Consider the following 19,651-nt stretch of genomic DNA (forward strand, 5'->3'; position numbering starts at 1 on the left):
GTCATTATGTAATGATAAAGGGATCAATTCAGCAAAAGGATATGACAATTGTAAATATATATGTACCTAACACTGGAGCACTCATATATACAAAACAAATATTATTAGAGCTAAAGAGAGAAATCGATTTCAATACTATAATAGTTTGAGATTTCAACAGCCCACTTTCAACATTAGACAGATCTTTCAGACAGAAAATCAACAAAGAAACATCAGATATAATCTTCACTATAGAACAAATAGACTTAATAGATATTTATGGGACAATTCATCCAATGATTGCAGAATACACATTTTTCTCCTCAGTATATGAATCATTCTCAAGGATAGATCATATGTTAAGTCACAAAACAAGTCCTAAAACATTCAAAAAATTGAAATAATATCAAGCAGCTTCTCTTACCACAATGGAATTAAACTGTAAATCAATAACAAGAGGAATTTTAGAAACTGTAAAAAAAATGAAAAATAAACATATTTTTCTGAATGACCAATGCATCAATGAAGAAATTAAGAAGGAAATTTAAACATTTGTTGAAACAAATGATATTGGAAACACAACTTATCAAAAACTATGGGACACAGAGGAAGAAGTACTAAAAGGGAAATCTATAGCTATAAGTGCCTAGTTCAAAAAATAAGAAAACTTTACATAAATAACCAAATGATGCACCTTAAAGAACTAGAAAATTAAAAGCAAACCAAAGATAAAATTAATATAAGAAAAGGAATAATAAATATCAGAGCAGAAATAAATAAAATTGAAATGAAGAAAACAACATAAAAGATTGACAAACTGAAAGTGTTTTTTTTTAATAAACAAAATTGACGAACCTTTAGCCAGAGTAACTAAGAAAAAAAGAGAGAAAACCCAAGTAAAATCAGAGATGATAAAGGGGACATTACAACTTATATCACAGAAATTCAAATAATCATTGGTGGCTACTTTGAGCAACTATATAACAATAAATTGAAAATCTAGAGGAAATGGATAAATTCTTAGACACATACAACCTACCAAGATTGAACCCTGAAGAAATCCAAAACCTAGGCCAAGTGCTGTGGCTCATGCCTGTAATCCAAGCATTTTGGGAAGCCGATGTGGGTAGATCACTTGAGCTCAAGAGTTCAAGACCAGCCTGCCTAAATGGCAAAACCTCGTCTTTACTAAAAATACAAAAAATTAGCCAGGCATGGTGGTATGCATCTGTAATTCCAGCTACTCGAGGGGCTGAGGCATGAGAATCGCTTGAGCCTGGGAAGTGGAGGTTGCAAAGAATTGAGATTGTGCCACTGTACTGCAGCCTGAAAAGAAAAGAAAAGAAAAGAGAAGAAAAGAAAAGAAAAAGAAAAGAAGAGAAATCCAAAACCTGAATACAACAATAACAAGTAATGAGATCAAAGCTGTAATAAAAGGTCTTCAAGTAAAGAAAAGCCCAGGACTTGATGCTTTCATTGCTGAATTCCATCAAACATTTAAAGAAGAACTAATATCAATCTTACTCAAACTATTCCAAAAAATAGAAGAGGATAAAATACTCCCAATCTCATTATACAAGGCCTAGTATTACCTTGATACCAAAACCAAATAAAGACATGTCAAAAAAAAAACGAAACAAAAAAAACTAACTATGGGCCAATATCCCTGAACACTGATGCAAAAATCCTCAACAAAATACTAGCAAACAAAATTCATCAATACATTCATAAAATCATTCATCATGACCAAGTGGAATTTATCTCAAGGATGAAAGGATGGTTCAACATATGCAAATTAGTCAGTGTAATACATCATATCAACAGAATGAAGGACAAGAACCATATGATCATTTCAAGTGATGCTGAAAAAGCACTTGATAAAATTTAACATTCTTTCAAAAAAATTCAAAAAACTGGGTATAGAAGAGTATACCTCAACATTAAAAAAGCCATCTACAACAGAACCACAGCTATTATCATACTAAATGGGGAAAAACTGAAAGCCTTTTATCTAAGATCTGGAACAAGACAAGGATGCCCACTTTCACCACTGTTATTCAACATACTACTGGAAGTCCCAGCTAGAGCCATCAGACAAGAGAAAGAAATAAAGGATATCCAAATTGAAAAGGAAGAATTCAAATTATTCTTGTTTGCAGATGATATAATCTTATATTTAGAAAACTCTAAAGACTACCCCAAAAAACTATTAGAACTGATAAGCAAATTGAGTAAAGTTACAGGACACAAGATCAACATGCAAAAATCAGTAGCATTTCTCTATGCCAACAGTGAACAATCTGAAAAAGAAATTTAAAAAAGTAACCCAATTTATAGTAGCCACAAATAAAATTAAATACCTAGGAATTAACCAAAGAGTTGAAAAATGTCTACAATGGAAACTATAAAATGTTAATGAAATAAATTGAAGAGGACACAACAAAGGGAAAGATATTCTATCTTCATGTACTGGAAGAATCAATATTGTTAAAATGTCCACATACCAAGAGCAATCTACAGATTCAATGCAATCCCTATCAAAATACCAATGACATTCTCTACAGAAAGAGAAAAAGTAATCTTAAGATTATATGGAACCACAAAAGACCCAGAATAGCCAAAGCTCTCCTGAGCAAAAAGAACAAAACTGGAGGAATCACATTACCTGACTTCAAATTGTACTACAGAGCTACAGTAAACAAAACAGCATGGTACTGGCATAAAAACTGACATGTAGACCAATGGAACAGAATAGAGAACCTGGAAACAAATCTATACACCTACAGTGAACTCTTTTTTTTTTTTTTTTTTTTTTTTTTTTACAAAGGTGCCAAGAACATACATCAGGGAAAGACAGTCTATTTAATAAATAACGTTGGGAAAATTGGACTTCCATATGCAGAATAATGAAACTAGGCTCCTATCTCTCACCATATAAAAAAAATCAAATCAAAATGGATTAAAACTTAAATCTAAGATCTCAAACTGTAAAGCTACTACAAGAAATCATTGGGTAAAATCTCCAGGACATTGATCTGCACATAAATTTCTTGAGTAACACCCAGAGCACAGGCAACCAAAGCAAAAATGAACAAAAGGAACCACATCAAGTTAAAAAGCTTCTGCACAGCAAAAGAAGCAATCAACAAAGTGAAGAGACAACCCACAAAATATATAAGAAGCAATTTTATCACCACTACAATGAAGATACTGAATAATATCAATGATAAAAGTTTCTTATGGAAAATTTTTTTCTATAGGGAAATATCTAATAATCTGATCAAAACATGGGGAAAAAATTTGATTAGACATTTCTCCAGAGAAGATATACAAATGGCAAACAGGCATATGAAAAGATGTTCACCATCATTGATCATCAGAGAAATGCAAATCCAAACTACAATGAGATATCATCTCACTCCAGTTAAAATGGCCTATATCCAAAAGACAGGCAATAACAAATGCTGACGAGGATGTGGAGAAAAGGAAATTCTCATACACTGTTGGTGGGAATGTAAATTAGGCCAGCCACTATGGAGGACAGTTTGGAGATTCCTCAGATAACTAAAAATAGAGCTACCATACAATCCAGCAATCACATTGCTGGGTATAAACCCAAAAGGAAGGAAATCAGGTTATCTAAGGGACATCAGCACTCCAGTGTTTATTGCGGCACTGTTCACAATAGCCAAGATTTAGAAGCAACCTAAGTGTCCATCATCAGATGAATGGATAAAGATAATGTGGTATATGCACACAATGGAGTACTATTCAGCCATAAAAAAATAATAACATCCTGTCATTTTCAACACTATGGATGCAACTGGATGTCATTATGCTAAATGAAATAAGCCAGACACAGAAAGACAAACTTCACAGATTCTTGCATATTTGTGGGAGCTTAAAATTACAATGATTGAACTCATGGGAATAGAGAATAAAAGGATGATTACCAGAGGCTGGGAAGGTTAGTAGGGGGTGGGTAGGGGGAAGTGGAGATGGTTAATGGGTACAAAACATAGAATGAATAAAAACTAGTATTTGATAGCACAGCAGGGTGACTATGGTTAATAATTTAATTGTACATTTTAAAATAACTAAAAGAATATAATTTGATTGTAACACAAAGGATAAATGCTTGTGGCAATGGACACATCATTTACTATGATGTGATTATTACGTATTACATGTCTATCAAAGTATCTCATGTACCCCATAAGTATGTACACCTACTATGTACCCACAAAAATTAAAGAAAAGAAAGAGAAAATGAGTAGGTTGAGGAAAGAGCTGGGTCAATTTGTTTTATCAGAAGAAAAGTCGAGAGTGATCTTGTCAAGAGCCATTTCTATGGAACAATGAAAGTGAAAACTAGGTTAAATAGGTTGAAAAGTGATAGGAAGTGAGGAAGTCGAGATTGAATGAGTGACAACTTGGAAGAAATGAGTTTGAAGGAAATACATGAAGTGGTAAATAGAAGGAGACACGGGATAAAGGAGGCAATTTATAAATATAGATGGTTTTCTAATGTGCTTACATATATTTTCTCACGTTTCTCACCAAAACAAACCCTGAATAAAATATCCTTTCTATTTAACAAGAAATAATGGTCTGTGATACAGATCCTTATAAAATTGCAGTAATTCCTGTCATGTAGGTCACTATGAAAACATTTTCTCACTGTCCATATAAAACCAAGCGCTACCAGAACAAAAGCAGAGAGCTTGACCTCAGATGTCACTTCAAAATGAGGTTATCTTATAATTTCACTGAAAAAAGAAAAAACAGCCAAACTTGCAGGATATTTTCAGCAAATATGAAAATTCTTTAGTTCTTCTCCCACATGTGAGAGACATATAGATAATCAAAGGACAGATAAATAAGCTTAGATGAGGGAATGGGAAGGGCATCTCACTGCAAGGAGACAGCCGAGAAACTTGTTTTGGTATTTAATTTGACAACATGTAAAATTTAAGTAAAGGGACTAATTTTTAATTGAAGAGTTTCCACCCAAGTAAGTGTCCCGAGCATATTCTATTCATTTTTTCTAAACACAGTGAGGTTGACTCTATTATCTTAAATTTACGATGAGGAAACAGATTTGTGGAAGTTAGCTGGGAAGTGTCAGATCCAGGGTCGAAGGCCAGCTTGTCCATCACCAAAGCCAATGCTGAAGATATATTGTAATGAGCAACAGTAGAGGAAAATGGTTAGAAACATAGGCTAGGAAGCAGACTACGCAATTGATGTTCAATTTTACTTCCTACTAACTCTGTAAACTTGTGCAAGTTATTTTTATATTCTATTCCAGTTTCCAACCTATAAAATGAGGATAAAGAAAATGCCTACTACACAGCATTGTTGTGGGGATTAAATGAATTTAAACAGTGCCTGGACCATAGACCTTCATAAATGACAAGTGTTAGTATATTATCTTCTCTTAAGAAAAAAATGGTCTCTCTATTTGGAAAGGTCACCCTTTTAATAGAGTATTAGTAGTTACTTTAGTCAGCAGAGATGTTTCTCAGTCAAATCACCCTAAACCAGTTTTGATCTTGTATCTGAATAGAGGCAACTAGAATTTTAATTTCAAAATCATCCCATCCAAAAACAAAATTGTCTTTGGCTCAACACTGCATATGTATTTACTTGTTGTTCAAGATTTCCTTCCCACCAATAACTCTTTGTTTGTCTTCCTGTAAAGAAAATGATGAGGGCTAAATCCATCAGCACCAAAGCTGGGAAGCCCTCCAGGTTCATTTGGAAGAAAATACTCCTCTGAGCTCAAAGGAAGTGTGATCTGTCACAATATTGTATGCCTGCACTAAGTTTGCATCCTGAAAACTCACTGGAAGATAGGAAAGCAAGCATGAAAAAGCAGCCGGGTCAGACAGGCTTCTGGATTCAGTGTGTGGACATGACTTTGCCTGCATGAATTGCCCCTTTCTCCTACAAACAAGAGAATTCGGTCAAGTGGATGTGGCAGAACTGGGCTGCTCTGAGATGATAGAAAAGGGCTCCTGCTTTTCCTGTAATTGCAGCCCCTTGTTCTTGTGGTTGCTACATGCAATAAATGTAATTCTATGAGAAGGACCAGCCCTTACATCCCATCAAAATGTTTCCTGGAAACCTGGAGCACAGAACTCTGATATCCTCTCACACTGTGGCAGGAGAAGCAGCACAAGGCACAATGCTGAAATAGCATGGTCCAGGGTAGGGTACAGCTCATTTATTTTGTTGAAGAAATCCTTTTCATTGCATTTGCTGGAAGAGGAGGAGTAAGGGCTGCTTGACACTCATCTCTTAAATGCTATACATTCTACCTTGTCCCTGTGATGTAAGAGCAGGAAATAAGGAATACCAAGCACAAAAATAGTAGTTAACAATTTTGTGGGTTAAATGATAAAGTGTGTGTGTGCATGTCTGTGTTTTCTCACAGTGGCCATAGAGTAAGTGATTTTTATGCCAAATTATGGTTTTATAGAAATTATTTCGGAGTTCCTATGGTGACTTCTTAACTTTATCAGACAGTTGGCAGTTTGGACAACTTATAGAGAAATCTAGGACTCCCAGCTAAGGAAATTAATATTTACAAAAATCAGCCAATAGCAAAGAGAAGAAAAGCTCTGACAGATTAAAAAGTTTCACAAAAGTGGTATTTTTTAGTGTAAACATAAACTGCTTTAAGAATGCATAATTATCTTTGTACACCTATATGCATGTGTATTCAACACAATGCTCATACAAAGAATTTAAGCCCAAGTAATTTTAGTTGAAAAAATACATATTTTTCAATTACATGAATGTTCAAGAAAAAGTAAAAATTATTCCGACCACAACAACTTTCAAAATGATGTCACAGTTTTCCACTTTATTTGTGTGTAGACTATTTTAGAACATTTCCTCTTTTCAAAAAGAAGTCATCTTTGACAGCCATTAGAATGAGCACAAAATAGGCCCATTTATTTATTTATTTCACAGATGGACAACTAATACAGATGGTACTATTAAAATTATGTCACATCAATGTTTGCAGGGAACTTGGATTTAACATTATGAAAAAAGATTCATTCAGAAATAAAAAGGGTGATACTTTGAGAGTCAACGTGAGTCTACTTTCCAATGAATTCAAGCAATACTTCAACTGTCAACTAAATAATTTAAGTTATTGGACTTCCACTTCCAAATGTAAAAACTGAAATATCTTCCTTAATTGCATTTTTAGCAGTTATATGATGAGACTAAATCAATAACACCAATGGAATTGAGTATTTACAATCATTGTTGCTTCAGCAAAAGGTTTGGACTGAACAAAAGGTTTGGACATAACTATGGGCTAAATAATAGAAGTGTAACAAGCTACGATTTTTAATAGCTGTGTTTTAATAGTTGACAAATTTCTGAAATAATCTCAAGCAAGTAAAGCTCAGTAGAAATAAACATTAGTTTTCTAATCACTGTTATAATAGAAACTTTCCACAATGTTTAAATTATTAAGAATTTTTAATCCTCAGAAAGTAGCAGTAAATGGATCATCAACTTTTGTTCTGGATCATGAATAGATATATGTATTTCCTTCCTTTAAGATCTATTGGGCACACTTAAGCTGAATATACAAATTTTTGTAGTTCCCACTTTTGGCAAAACAGTGGCCTTTATGGTGTCATTCTATTTTCCGAGCCCTCTTAGGTATTATCTCTCCAAAGGATTAAAGTGGCAAATAGTGCCCAGCCTGGAGTCTTAAACTCAAAGGTAGGATTTGGTCACAATTGCTGTTTCTATTATATTTTCATTAATTATTTTTTCTTTCTTTGAATGTATTCATTTTCAGCAATGTTCAAAAGTTAAAATAGGGTCTATGACATGTTTTCTAAAAATGAATGAAATGTGGGTGTCTCAATCAGTTTGGGCTGCTATAATGGAATACCATAGACTGGTGATTTAAACAACAGAAATTTATTTCTCAAAGTTCTGGAGCCTGGGAAGTCCAAGATCAATTTCTGGTGAGCGCTTTCTTCCAGGTTTATAGATAGCCGTCCTTTGCTGTGTCTTCACATGACATACACAGGGAGAGAGGAAGAAAGCCTTCTTGGGTCTCTTCTCATAAGGGCACTCATCCCATCATAAGAGCTCCACCCTCATGACCCAACCACCTGCCAAAGGCTCCATCTCCAAATGCCATTATATTGACGAATAGGGTTTCAACATATGAATGTGGTTGGCAGGGCTGGGGGGGTACACAAATAGCATATGAATGAATTTGTTTCATAATATTTATTGCATCATATCCTTGATGATTTAGGCCTGCCAAAAAGAGGAAGAGAGTTTTCAAGTGGACGTTAGCCTTGAGCCTCAAACATTTTGATTCCTGCTTTTTAAATGTATCCAATAATCAAGAGAGAACAATAACAATGAAGGATGTGATGCATAGAATACCAACCAGTTACAGCCAGGAAACTTTCAAAAACTAATACATGAAATTCTTAGAAGAGCTTATAAATAGCTATGTTCATTTCATTTTAGTCATTTTATATTCGCCTGTGAGAGAGAGAATAAACTGAGAAATTCTATAAGCAATGTCATTCAAGTGCCTGAAATAATCAATGCATGCTGGCAAAAGTTACAGAAAGAATTTGTGAATTTATGCATCCAACAAATGTTTATGGGGAACCAATTTCATTTTGGACAAAATTTTCTGCCTTCATGGAGTTCACATCAAAGAGTAGAATAAACACATAAGTAAAATTTAATAGGTTGAATAATGGTAAAAGTTTAATAAAGCTTAGTAAAATGAAGTATCAATAGTGTGTCCATTAGTTTACTATTGCCACAAAATTGTCACATTTCAGCAATACGTATTTATTGCTCATGTGTCTGAGATCTGTCAACTATGCTGATGTTGGCGGGGGTTGGCTGACTGAAAGGTGATCAAAGCTGACCCTGGCTAAGGTGACTGGAGCAACCAGTATGTGTCTCCACCTCCAGCATGTTAGTCTGAGCAGGTTATCAAGGCTTTGGAAGGAGTGGGAAGACATGTGGAAAGAGCCAAGGCTTCTTGAGACCTAGACTTGAACTAGCACACTGTCACTTCCAGCTCATTCTATTGGGGAAAGAAAGTCATATTGTTGATCCTAGAGTCAAAGAACAGAGCAGGTCATCCTACGCATTGAGAGAAGGAACTGGAGAGTCACATAGTAAAGGATATAGAGACAAGGAAGGGTAAGAAATGGGGCCAGTGATGCATCTACCATGGCGTGGATGCTACTCCAAAGGAGAGGTCAGGAAAGAGGTTACTGATCTATTTGATCTAACTGATAAGACACCTTAAGGAGGTAAATAAGTGAGCTACAGAAATATCTGGAAGAAATATTTCAAGTGCAGACGCCATAAGGCAGTATGGAAGAAATGATGGAAGTGTGGTAGAAATGGTCACAGAGGTGGTGGAGGAGTGAGGTGGGACACACATCTTGTAGGGCCTTGTAGGCCATTCGAAGAAACTTGATTTTACTCTAAGAAAGATAAGAAGCCAGTTAAGGATTATGAGGGATGGAAAAACATAACCTTATATTTAAGAGGTTTCCTACAATGGACAAAAAGCTGAGCAGGCTGCTGGTTGTCATTAAAAAAGTGAATATTAAGAGCCATAGACAATGAGAGGAATTGATAAATTGGACATGCAGGATCATATATACAAAACTACATACCTGGTACCTTAAAGGAAATTTAATGACTATTGAAGGTAAGGTGACTTAAAATTTGCTTATGCTGAATTTAGATAAAAAAAAAAGCCCAGCTAAGCAGAGATTTCACCATAAGCTATGTCCTTGAATACGTTACTGCTGGGCCCACTGAGCACAGATATCCTTTCATTTATGTGGTATATGCATTTCTAAAAGGTCTATGGGGTTTTGAATTTTAAAGTGAAGTAGTTTTCCCATTACTATAATGGAAGTTATGTATCCCCATGCAGAAATGAAATTAAAATTCTCCAAAATAAAATTTGCCTTAAACAATAAGAGAATTGAATAAGGCATAGGGTATAAAAAGTAAGCCTGCCAAAAGCAATATCCTATATGCACACATAACTAAATTGAAGATACAATGGGAAAGAAGACCATATCTGATATAGCCAAAATGTATAATAATATAAAACATCTAGGCTAAATTTTAGCAAGAAGTGTTCACATCTCTAGAGGAAATCTAGAAAACACTCTTCAAAGACACAAAAGTAAACTTAAACAAATGAAAAGATATGCCATTACTTAGGAAGAAGCAACCTTATAAGGAGATCAGTTCTCCCTCAGGTAATTTTGAAATTTAATACAACACCATTGAAAACCACCAGGTTTTTCTTTTCTAGAGCTTGAGAAGTTAATTATAAAGTTCATTTGGGAAAAAAAGCAAACATATGGAGAGAGTGGCCAGTCTTATTTGTTATTAAAATCCACTAAAAGTCTCATAACGGTGTAGAATGTGTTATGTAAAAAGACAGAGAGACTAATGGCACAAAATTTAAAAATTCTGAAATCAACTTGGTTACATATACATACATACATAGAAAATATGGGATACAATAAAGATGGAATCTCAAGTCTAAACTGAAAAGATGAACTTTTTAGTAACTTGAATTGAGATAATTTGATAGCCATATGGAAAAAGACAAAAATTAGATCAGTCTCTTACATCATACATGAGAATAAATTCCGAAGGGATCAAAAAGTAGATTCTAAAAAATTAAACCCTGTAGTACTAGAAGTTAACATGGGTAAATTCTATAATCTGAGAGTGGGAAAACTGCCACGCTACTACTCGAAGTCCAGAAGTAATACAGGAAAAAATTGATGAATATGAATACATAAAATAAAAAGATATTTTTGGTATGGCAAAATCATAAGCAAATAAAGACAAATGACAAACTGAAAAAAAATAGCTAAGTGCTATATCTCTAATATATAAAGATCTTCTAAAATAAAGAAAAAACAGACCCTATTTTTAAACAGGACAGAAAATTAAAGAGATCTCACAAGAAAGCAAATGGCTCTTAACTCTGAGAGATGGTCAACCTCACTGATAAGAGAAATAAAATTAAAACTACACTGAGATATCATTTCTCACCTACTAGATCAGCACAAATCCAAGAGGTTGAAATCACATTCTGTTGTCAAATTCATGAAGAATCAGACACTCATATATATTTCTTGTAGAGTTGCAAAATGTACAATTTCCAAGGAAAGAAAGTTAATAATATCTAGCAAAATTACATATGCGTGTATCCTTTGACCCAGCATTAACTCTAGGAATCTACCTCAAAGACACAGTGGCAAAAATCCAAAATGCACAGGGCAATTCACTGTACTCCTGTTTAGAACAGCAAATGTCAGAGAACAACTCAAATGTTCATTAATAAGGCACTGGTTGAATAAAGTATGGTAATTCCACACACATGCAAAAATAGTTTACAATTATAAAAAGCAGTGAAATATGTCTCTGCATATCATTATGTACTATCACAGGAAACTATATTAAAGTAGCAGGTTATAAAATTATACACAAAAAGCATAAGAAAGTAGGGAGGAGATAAAATTGTGTAGTGTGACAACAATTACCTAAGGATAGAAGAGAATATACTGTTAATACATATACATATCTGTTTACGGTAACAATTTATGGAGAAAACAAAATTTTTAAATTACCTTTAAGTGAGGGAAGAAGGGGAAAAGGCAGTGAGTAAAGAGTAGCTAAACTTCTTTAGAATGTACTTTACTTTGTATACCTGACTCTGATAAGAATTTAAATTGCTGATAAAACATATTGCAACACTGTAATTTATAGAAGTGAATTTGAAGAACTTATGCTGAAAGTTATTTTCAAGTTTAGGAATTCTAATTCAAATTTTGTCATATGACATTAAGTTATTTTCTAAAGTTAGGAATACACAACAGCTATGTTGGCATGTGTGAAAACACATACGTGTGGACTGTATTTTTCACTGTGATAAGAGCTCCAGTATACAGCAGAAAGAGACGGAGTCTGGTGGAGAGTTTCTCAATTGGAAATCAGGTCACTAGCCAAATAAACAGAAAAAATTTCTCTGAAAACAAACAGAAAAAACCCACAATGGTTACTGATTGTATCCAGAAATAATGATTGGGGTTTGTTCCCTTAATGGATATGATCCTGTTTATGTAATCAAATACAAATATCTCAGTTTACTTCTTAGCTTACTTTTTCATTGAGCTATCAAGCTGATTTTGACACAAAATTGACTTATCTCCCTAGCACTTATCACCATCTGACATTACATGAAACTAATTTCTCTCCTCTCTCCCTCTCTCTTCCTCTTCCTTCTCACACCCCATCTTTCTTTCCTCCCTCTGCAACATAAGCTCCATTAAACCAGGGAATTTGTGTTTTTACTCTTTTAACTAAGTACTTGGTACTAGTGCCTGACAAATAGGTGATGCCTGATAAATATTTGTTAAGTAAATGCATGGGCGAGTATTGATTTTTTGTCACAGCCAAAAATCTAACTGAGATTTGATATGGTCACAGTGCGTTTTGCCATGCGTATCAATCCAGGTATTTATGATGGACAGCGTCTCTTGTAGGCTTTTAATGGCACTGGGGCACAGGCGTACATGAGATCAGGGCAGACTGTCCTGGCTAAAGAGGATGCTCTCTGAAGGCATTCACTCCATCTTCCACAGAGCCTAGTTCACGCACCTGGATACAGAGACTTAGGACAGAACCTATCTCATGTGGTTATTCAAGGAAAGTACCCAATACACTGTCTGGCAGACAGTCAAGAAAATTTATTGTTCATACCCATAAGTTATGAGAAGGGATAAAGGGAAGAAGTCTGAAGGAGCCATAAAGCCTCCCCAACACCTAACTTCCTCGATTTCCCATTCTGCTATTTTTCATACAGGTGACCATGGTTAACTTTTTGGAATGATTTGAGCATCAGCTTCTGAATTAGAAAAATTGAAATAAAATAATTCCTGCTCAATCAAAAAGTCAAATAAGACCATTTAAGTGGAAGTGATATGTTACTATATAACTGTGCTGTTTCCTTTTCATCTACCCACTCAAACCACCTAGTCAATTAAGCCAACTGTTCAATCAATCAAACAGTACGTATTCATGATCACACACCAAGTGAGAGGCACTGAACTCTTCACCATGTAGAATAATGTAGGTATTTACAGCACTCCCCAGGGAAACCACAGACAAAAGATTCACTGAAATCTTCTGATTTTTGTTTAACATGCAGCTGCGGGCACTCAGGTATAAACAAAGAGATTTTTTTCTCCCAAGAATATATTCTTGGGGACCAGGCACTGTGGCTCATGCCTGTAATCCCAGCACTTTGGGAGACCGAGGTGGATGGATCACTTGAGGTCAGGAGTTTGAGACCAGCCTGGCCAACATGGTGAAACTCTCTCTCTTCTAAAAATATAAAGAATTAGCCAGGCATGGTGGCTCTCACCTGTAATTCTAGCTACTTGGGAGGCTGAGGAACGAGAATCACTTGAACCTAGGAGGCAGAGGTTGCAGTGAGCTGAGATCAGGCCACTGAACTCCAGCCTGTGTGACAGAGTGAGACTCTGTCTCAAAAACAAACAAACAAACAAAAAGAAGAAAATATACATCCTTGGGTTCCAAGTTCTTTCTCATTTTCTATTGTGCCCCGTTAATTCTTTTTTTTTTTTTTGTCTTTTCTGGCCCTGCATATCAAAAATGTGGGAGACCAAAACCAATTATAGTCCTAGTAAATAATAAAAACAGATTAAGTCTTCTGATATTGTCCCAAGAGAAAACATTTGATACTCTTTTCAAATCACAATGTCATTCTCCTATCCAAACTACAGGTTCGGGAATGAAGACTCAACCCCTGAGAATACTACTATCCCCTGACCCAGGATAAACTTTCTCTGCATGGTTTATACGGAAAAACAAAGTGTGTTCTATTGAAACAAAATGTGTTCTATTTGGGTTCAAGGCCCACCTTCCTTATATCCAGCATTAGACTATTTTCCAGGAACCTCACTTGCACCTGTATTAATATCTTCTCTTTCTGAACACATAATTTCTCCTCCACAAATTTTGTTTTTCCTTATATCACAAATTTCTTAACAATATTACTTTTTTTTATTTTTTAATTTCAGTTTGATGGGTGCCTAGTAGGTGTATATACTTATAGGGTACATGGTATGTTTTGATACACGCATGCAATGTGTAATAATCACATCATGCCAAATCGAGCACCCAACCTCTCGCGCATTTATTTTTGTGTTACAAACAATCCAATTACATTATTTTAGTAATTTTAAAATGTACACTTAAATTATGATTGACTGTAGTCACCCTGTTGTGCTTTTTTTTTTTTTTTGGCTTACTGATAGCATGCTTTTTTAAAAAATCATCTTTATTTTTTAGAGCAGTTTTAAGTTCACAGCAAAATAGAGCAGAAAATGCAGAGAATTTCCATATGACCATTGCTCCCTCACACACACACACACACACAGCCTCCCCACAATTAACACCTCTTGCCTTTGTTACAATCAACGAACCGAACCTATATTGACATATTATTATCACCCAAAGTCCATAGTTTACATTAGAGTTCACTTTTGGTGTTGTACATTCTATGGGTTTTGACAAACATATAAAGACATGCATTCACCATTATAGTACCATATAGAATAGTTTCACTGCCCTAAAAATTCGTACACTCTTCCCATTTTTTCCTCCCTCCCTCCAATCTCTCACAACCATTGACTTTTCTACTGTCTCCAGAGTTTTGTCTTTTCCAGAATGTCATATGGTTGAAGTCACACAGTACATAGCTTTTTCAGATTGGCTCATTTCACTTAGAAATGTGAATTTAAGGTTTCTCTATGTATTTCCATAGCTTAGTGGCTTTCTTTTCTTTTCTTTTCTTTTTTTTTTTTTTTTTTGAGACAGGGTCTCGCTCTGTTGCCCAGGCACAAACATGGCTCACTGCAGCCTCTCCTTTCCGGGCTCAAGCAATCCCCCCATCTCAGTCCCCCAGGTAGCTGGGACTACAGACACATGCCACCGTGCTTGGCTAATTTTTGTATTTTTTGTAGAGATGGGTTTTCACCATGTTGGCCAGGGTCGTCTCAAACTCTTGGGAGCAAGTGATCCATCCACGTTGGCCTCCCAAACTGCTGGGATTATAGGTGTGAGCCACCGCACCCAGCTGATAGCTTATTTCTTTTTAGCCCTGAAAAATACCCCATTGTCTGGATGTACTACAGTTTATCCATTCACCTACTGAGAGACAATTTAGTTGCTTCCAATTTTGACAATTATGAATAAAGCTGCTATAAACATCTGTATGCAGGTTTTATATGGACATAACTTTTCAACTCATCTGAGTAAATACCAAGGAACATGATTATGGGATTGCATGGTAAAAATATGTTTAGTTTTTTAAGAAATTGCCAAACTGTTTTCAACAGTGGCTAGGTGTTTAGTTTTTTAAGAAATTGTCAAACTGTTTTCTACAGTGGCTGGGGTTTGGGCCATACTCCTGAAAGATACCATTCTAAATGTTGTAATATCAAATGTTGAAATCCCAAAAGATCAAAATCCCTAATGTCTAAAGTCCCCAAAATCCCAATCCTGATAGACCAAAATCACAATATAATTCTGGAAAGATAATTTAAAAAAAATTTTAAAGACATTTACTTACATTTGTAAAGAAGGTTTGTTTGAGAAACATAAAAACACAACCGAACACTTTATAGGCATTTGAGATTATGGCATTTGGGATTTTGTCTTTCGGATTATGATCGGCACTGTGAACAGCTCTACCATCACGCATTCCCACCAGCAATGAATGAGAGTTCTTACCGCACCAGCATTTGGTGGTGGTCATGTTTTGCTTTTGAGCCATTCTAATATGTATTTAGTGGTATCTCGTTTTAATTTGCAATTCACTAAGGGCATACAATGTTGAAAATTTTTTCATATGCTTATTTGCCACGTGTATGTCTTCTTTGGTAAGTTTTTAGAGTACTTTGGACACCAACCTTTATCAAAAGTATTTTGCAAATGTTTTCTCCCAGTCTGTGGCTTGTCATTTCATTCTCTTGACAGTGCTTTCACAGAGTAAATGTTTTTAATTTAATGAAGTACAGCTTATCAATTATTTCCTTCATCAATCATGCCTTTGGTGTTGGATCTAAAATATTCAGCTCAAACCCAAGGTCATCTAGATTTTCTTCTACACTATATTCTAGGAGTTTTATAGTTTAGCATTTTACATTTCTGTCTGTAATCCATTTTGAGCTGATGTTTGTGAAGAGTTTAAGGTCTATGTCTAGATTCATCTTTTTGCGTGTGAACATCCCATTGTTCAGCACCATTTGTTGAAAACTTACTTTTCTCCGCTGTATTCCCTTTGCTCCTTTATCAAAAATCAGTTGATAGTATTTATATGGATCTATACCTGTGCTCTCTGTTCTGTTTCATTGTTCTATTTTTCTATTCTTTTGCAGATACCACCACACTGTCTTTATTACTGTAGCTTTATAGTAAGTCTTGAAGTCGAATAGTGACAGTCCTCCAACTTTGTGCTTCTTCAATATTATGTTTGCTATACTGGGTCTTTTTCCTGTCCCTATAAACTTAAAAATCAGTTTGTTGATATTCAGGAAATTATTTCTGGGATTTTGATTGGGTCTGCCTTGGATCTATACATCAAGTTGGGAAGAAGTGATGTCTTGATAATATTGAGTCTTCTTATCCAAAAACATGGAATCTTTCTCTATTTATTTAGCTTTTAATTTCTTCATCAGAGTTTTATAAATTCCCTCATAAAGGTCTTATATATTTTCGTTAGCTTTATGCCTAAGTATTTAACTTGGGGGAACTATTGTAAATGGGATTTTGTTTTTAATTTCAAATCCCATTTATTTGTTGCTGGCATATAGGAAAGCAATTAACTTTTGTATATCAACCATTTTTGCCACCTTGTTATAATTGCTTATTAGCTCCAGGAGGGTTTTCTCTTTTTTTTGGTCAACTCTTTCAGATTTTCTACATAGACAATCATGTCATCTGCAAACAAAGGCAGTTCTATTTTTTTCTTCTTCTTCCCAATCTGTATACTTTTTACTTCCTTTTCTTGTCTTATTGCATTAGCTAGGACTTCCAATAAATATGATAAATATGATGTTGAAAAGGGTTGGTGAAAGGAGACGTCCTTGCCTTGCTCCTTATCTTAGTGGGAAAGCTTCAATTTCTTACCATTAAGTATGACGTTAGCTGAAATATTTTTGTACATGTTCTTTATCAACTTGAGTAAGTTCCCCTCTAACACTAGTTTGCTGAGAGTTCTGATCATGAATGAGAGCTGGTTCTGTTAGATGCTTTTTCTGCATCTGTTGATATGATCATGTGATTTTCCTTCTTTAGCCTGGTGCTGTGGTGTAGTTAGTCTGCTGCCACAGCCCAAGTGTATAAAATCCTCTGATGAATCTCCTGTGATGATTCAAATCCTGGAGTAATTTCCTGAAGAAGAGAAGAGCCTCTGCTCCACGCCCCGTGGCTTCCGCCCTTCCTTCCAGAGCAGGGGCCTGGCCTGCTCCCCACAGGGTTGTTGTATTCTGTTTATTAATCTCTTGTCAGATGAGTAGTTTGCAAATATTTTCTCCATTCTATAGGTTGTCTCTTCAGTTTGTTGATTGTTTATTTTGCTGTGAGGAACCTTTTAAAGTTGACATGATATCATTTGTCCATTTTTGCTTTGGTTTCTTGTGCTTGTGGGGTATTACTCAATAAATTTTTGCTGAGACCAACGTCCTTGAAAGTTTCCCCAATGTTTTCTGGTAGTAGATTCATAGTTTGAGGACTTAAAGTCTTTAATTCATTTTGATTTGATTTTTGTATATGGTGAGAGATAAGGGTCTAGTTTCATTCTTCTGCATATGGATATCCAGTTTTCCCAGCACCATTTATTGAAGAGACTGTCTTTCTCCCAATGTATGTTCTTGACACCTTTGTAAAAAACTGAGTTCACTGTAAGTGTGTAGATTTGTTTCTGGGTTCTCTATTCTGTTCCACTGGTCTATGTGTCTGTTTTTATGCCAGTACCACACTGTTTTGGTTACTTTAGCTCTGTAGTACAATTTGAAGTCAGGTAATGTGATTCTTCCAGTTTTGTTCTTCTTGCTCGGAGAGCTTTGGCTATTCTGGGTCTTCTGTGGTTTCACATAAATCTTAGGACGATTTTGTCTCTTTCTGTGAAGAATGTCATTGGGATTTTGATGGAAATTACATTAAATTTGTAGATTGATGTCAGTAGTATGGACATTTTAACAATATTGATTCTTCAAATACATGAAAATGGAATATTTTTCAATTTTTTAGTGTCCTTTTACATTTCTTTTATTACTTTTTTTATAGTTTTCACTATAGACATCTGTCACTTCTTTGGTTAATTTAACTCCTAGGTATTTAATTTTACTTGTGGCTATTGTAAATGGAATTACTTTCTTGATTTCTTTTTCAGATTGTTTACTTTTGACATACAGAAGTGCTACTGATTTTTGTATGTTGATTTTGTATCATGAAACTTTACTAAATTTGTTGATGCGTTCTAGTTGTTTTTTGATTCAGTCCTTAGAGTTTTCCAAATATAAGATCATATAATCTGTAAACAAGGATAATTTGACTTCTTTTTTTCCAATTTGGATGCACTTTCTTTCTCTTGTCTGATTGCTCTAGCAAGTACTTCCAGTACTATGTTAAATAACAGTGGTGAAAATGAGCATCCCTGCCATGCTTCTGATCTTAGAGGAAAGGCTTTCAGTTTTTCCCCATTTGGTATGATAATAACTGGGGGTTTGTCATATATAGCTTTTATTATGTCGAGGTATGTTCCTTCTAGCCCCAGTTTTTTGAGGGTTTTTATTATGAAGGAATATTGAATTTTATCAAATGCTTTTTTCAGTATCAATTGATATGATCATATGGTTTTTGGCCTTCATTCTGTTGATACTATGTATCACATTGATTGATTTGTGTATGCTTTGAATCCCAGGGATAAATCCCACTTGGTCATGATGAATTATCTTTTTAATATATTGTTGAATTCAGGTTGCTGGTATTTTCTTGAGGATTTTTGCATCAGTGTTCATCAGAGGTCTTGGCCTATAGTTTTCTTTTTGTGCTGTGTCTTTGTCCTGTTTTGGTATCAGGGTAATATTGGCCTCATAGAATGAGTTTGATAGTATTCCCTCCTCCTCTATTTTTCAGAATAGTTTTAGTAGGATTGGCATTAGTTCTTCTTTAAATGTTTGGTAAAATTCAGTAATGAAGCCACTAGGTCCTGGGCTTTTCTTTACCGGGAGAACTTTATTCTGGCTTCTGTCTCATTACCTGTTACTGGTTTGTTAAGGTTTTGGATTTCTTCATGGTTCAATCTTGGTAGGTTGTATGTGTCCAAGAATTGTCAATCTCCTCTAGATTTCCCTATTTCTTGGCATATAGCTGCTCATAGTAGCCACTAATTACCTTTGAATTTCTGCAGTATCAGTTCTAATGTCTTCTCTTTCATTATTGACTTTTATTTTTTTGGATCTTCCCTCTTTTTTTCTTAGTTAGTCTGGCTAAAGGTTTGTCAATTTTGTTTAGCTTT

The 19,651-nt window shown here is 35.0% G+C and overlaps 1 protein-coding gene across 3 annotated transcripts in view; it reads left to right on the top strand.

Moving 5' to 3' along the window:
* Positions 5,670 to 19,651, top strand: part of OPRM1 (opioid receptor mu 1) — a 236,372-nt gene continuing 222,390 nt past the window's right edge. For 2 of the 3 annotated variants that reach the window (NM_001145279.4, NM_001145280.4), the window contains exon 1: positions 5,670 to 6,192. Coding sequence is in view for 1 of the 3 variants with exons in the window: in NM_001145281.3 (NP_001138753.1) it covers positions 5,687 to 5,733 (47 nt within the window). In the remaining 2 variants the exon portion in view is untranslated. The remainder of the gene's footprint in view (positions 6,193 to 19,651) is intronic. The other variant, NM_001145281.3, reaches the window with a different exon arrangement.

This window comes from Homo sapiens, chromosome 6 (genome assembly GCF_000001405.40).
Source record: "Homo sapiens chromosome 6, GRCh38.p14 Primary Assembly".
NCBI lineage: Eukaryota > Metazoa > Chordata > Mammalia > Primates > Hominidae > Homo > Homo sapiens.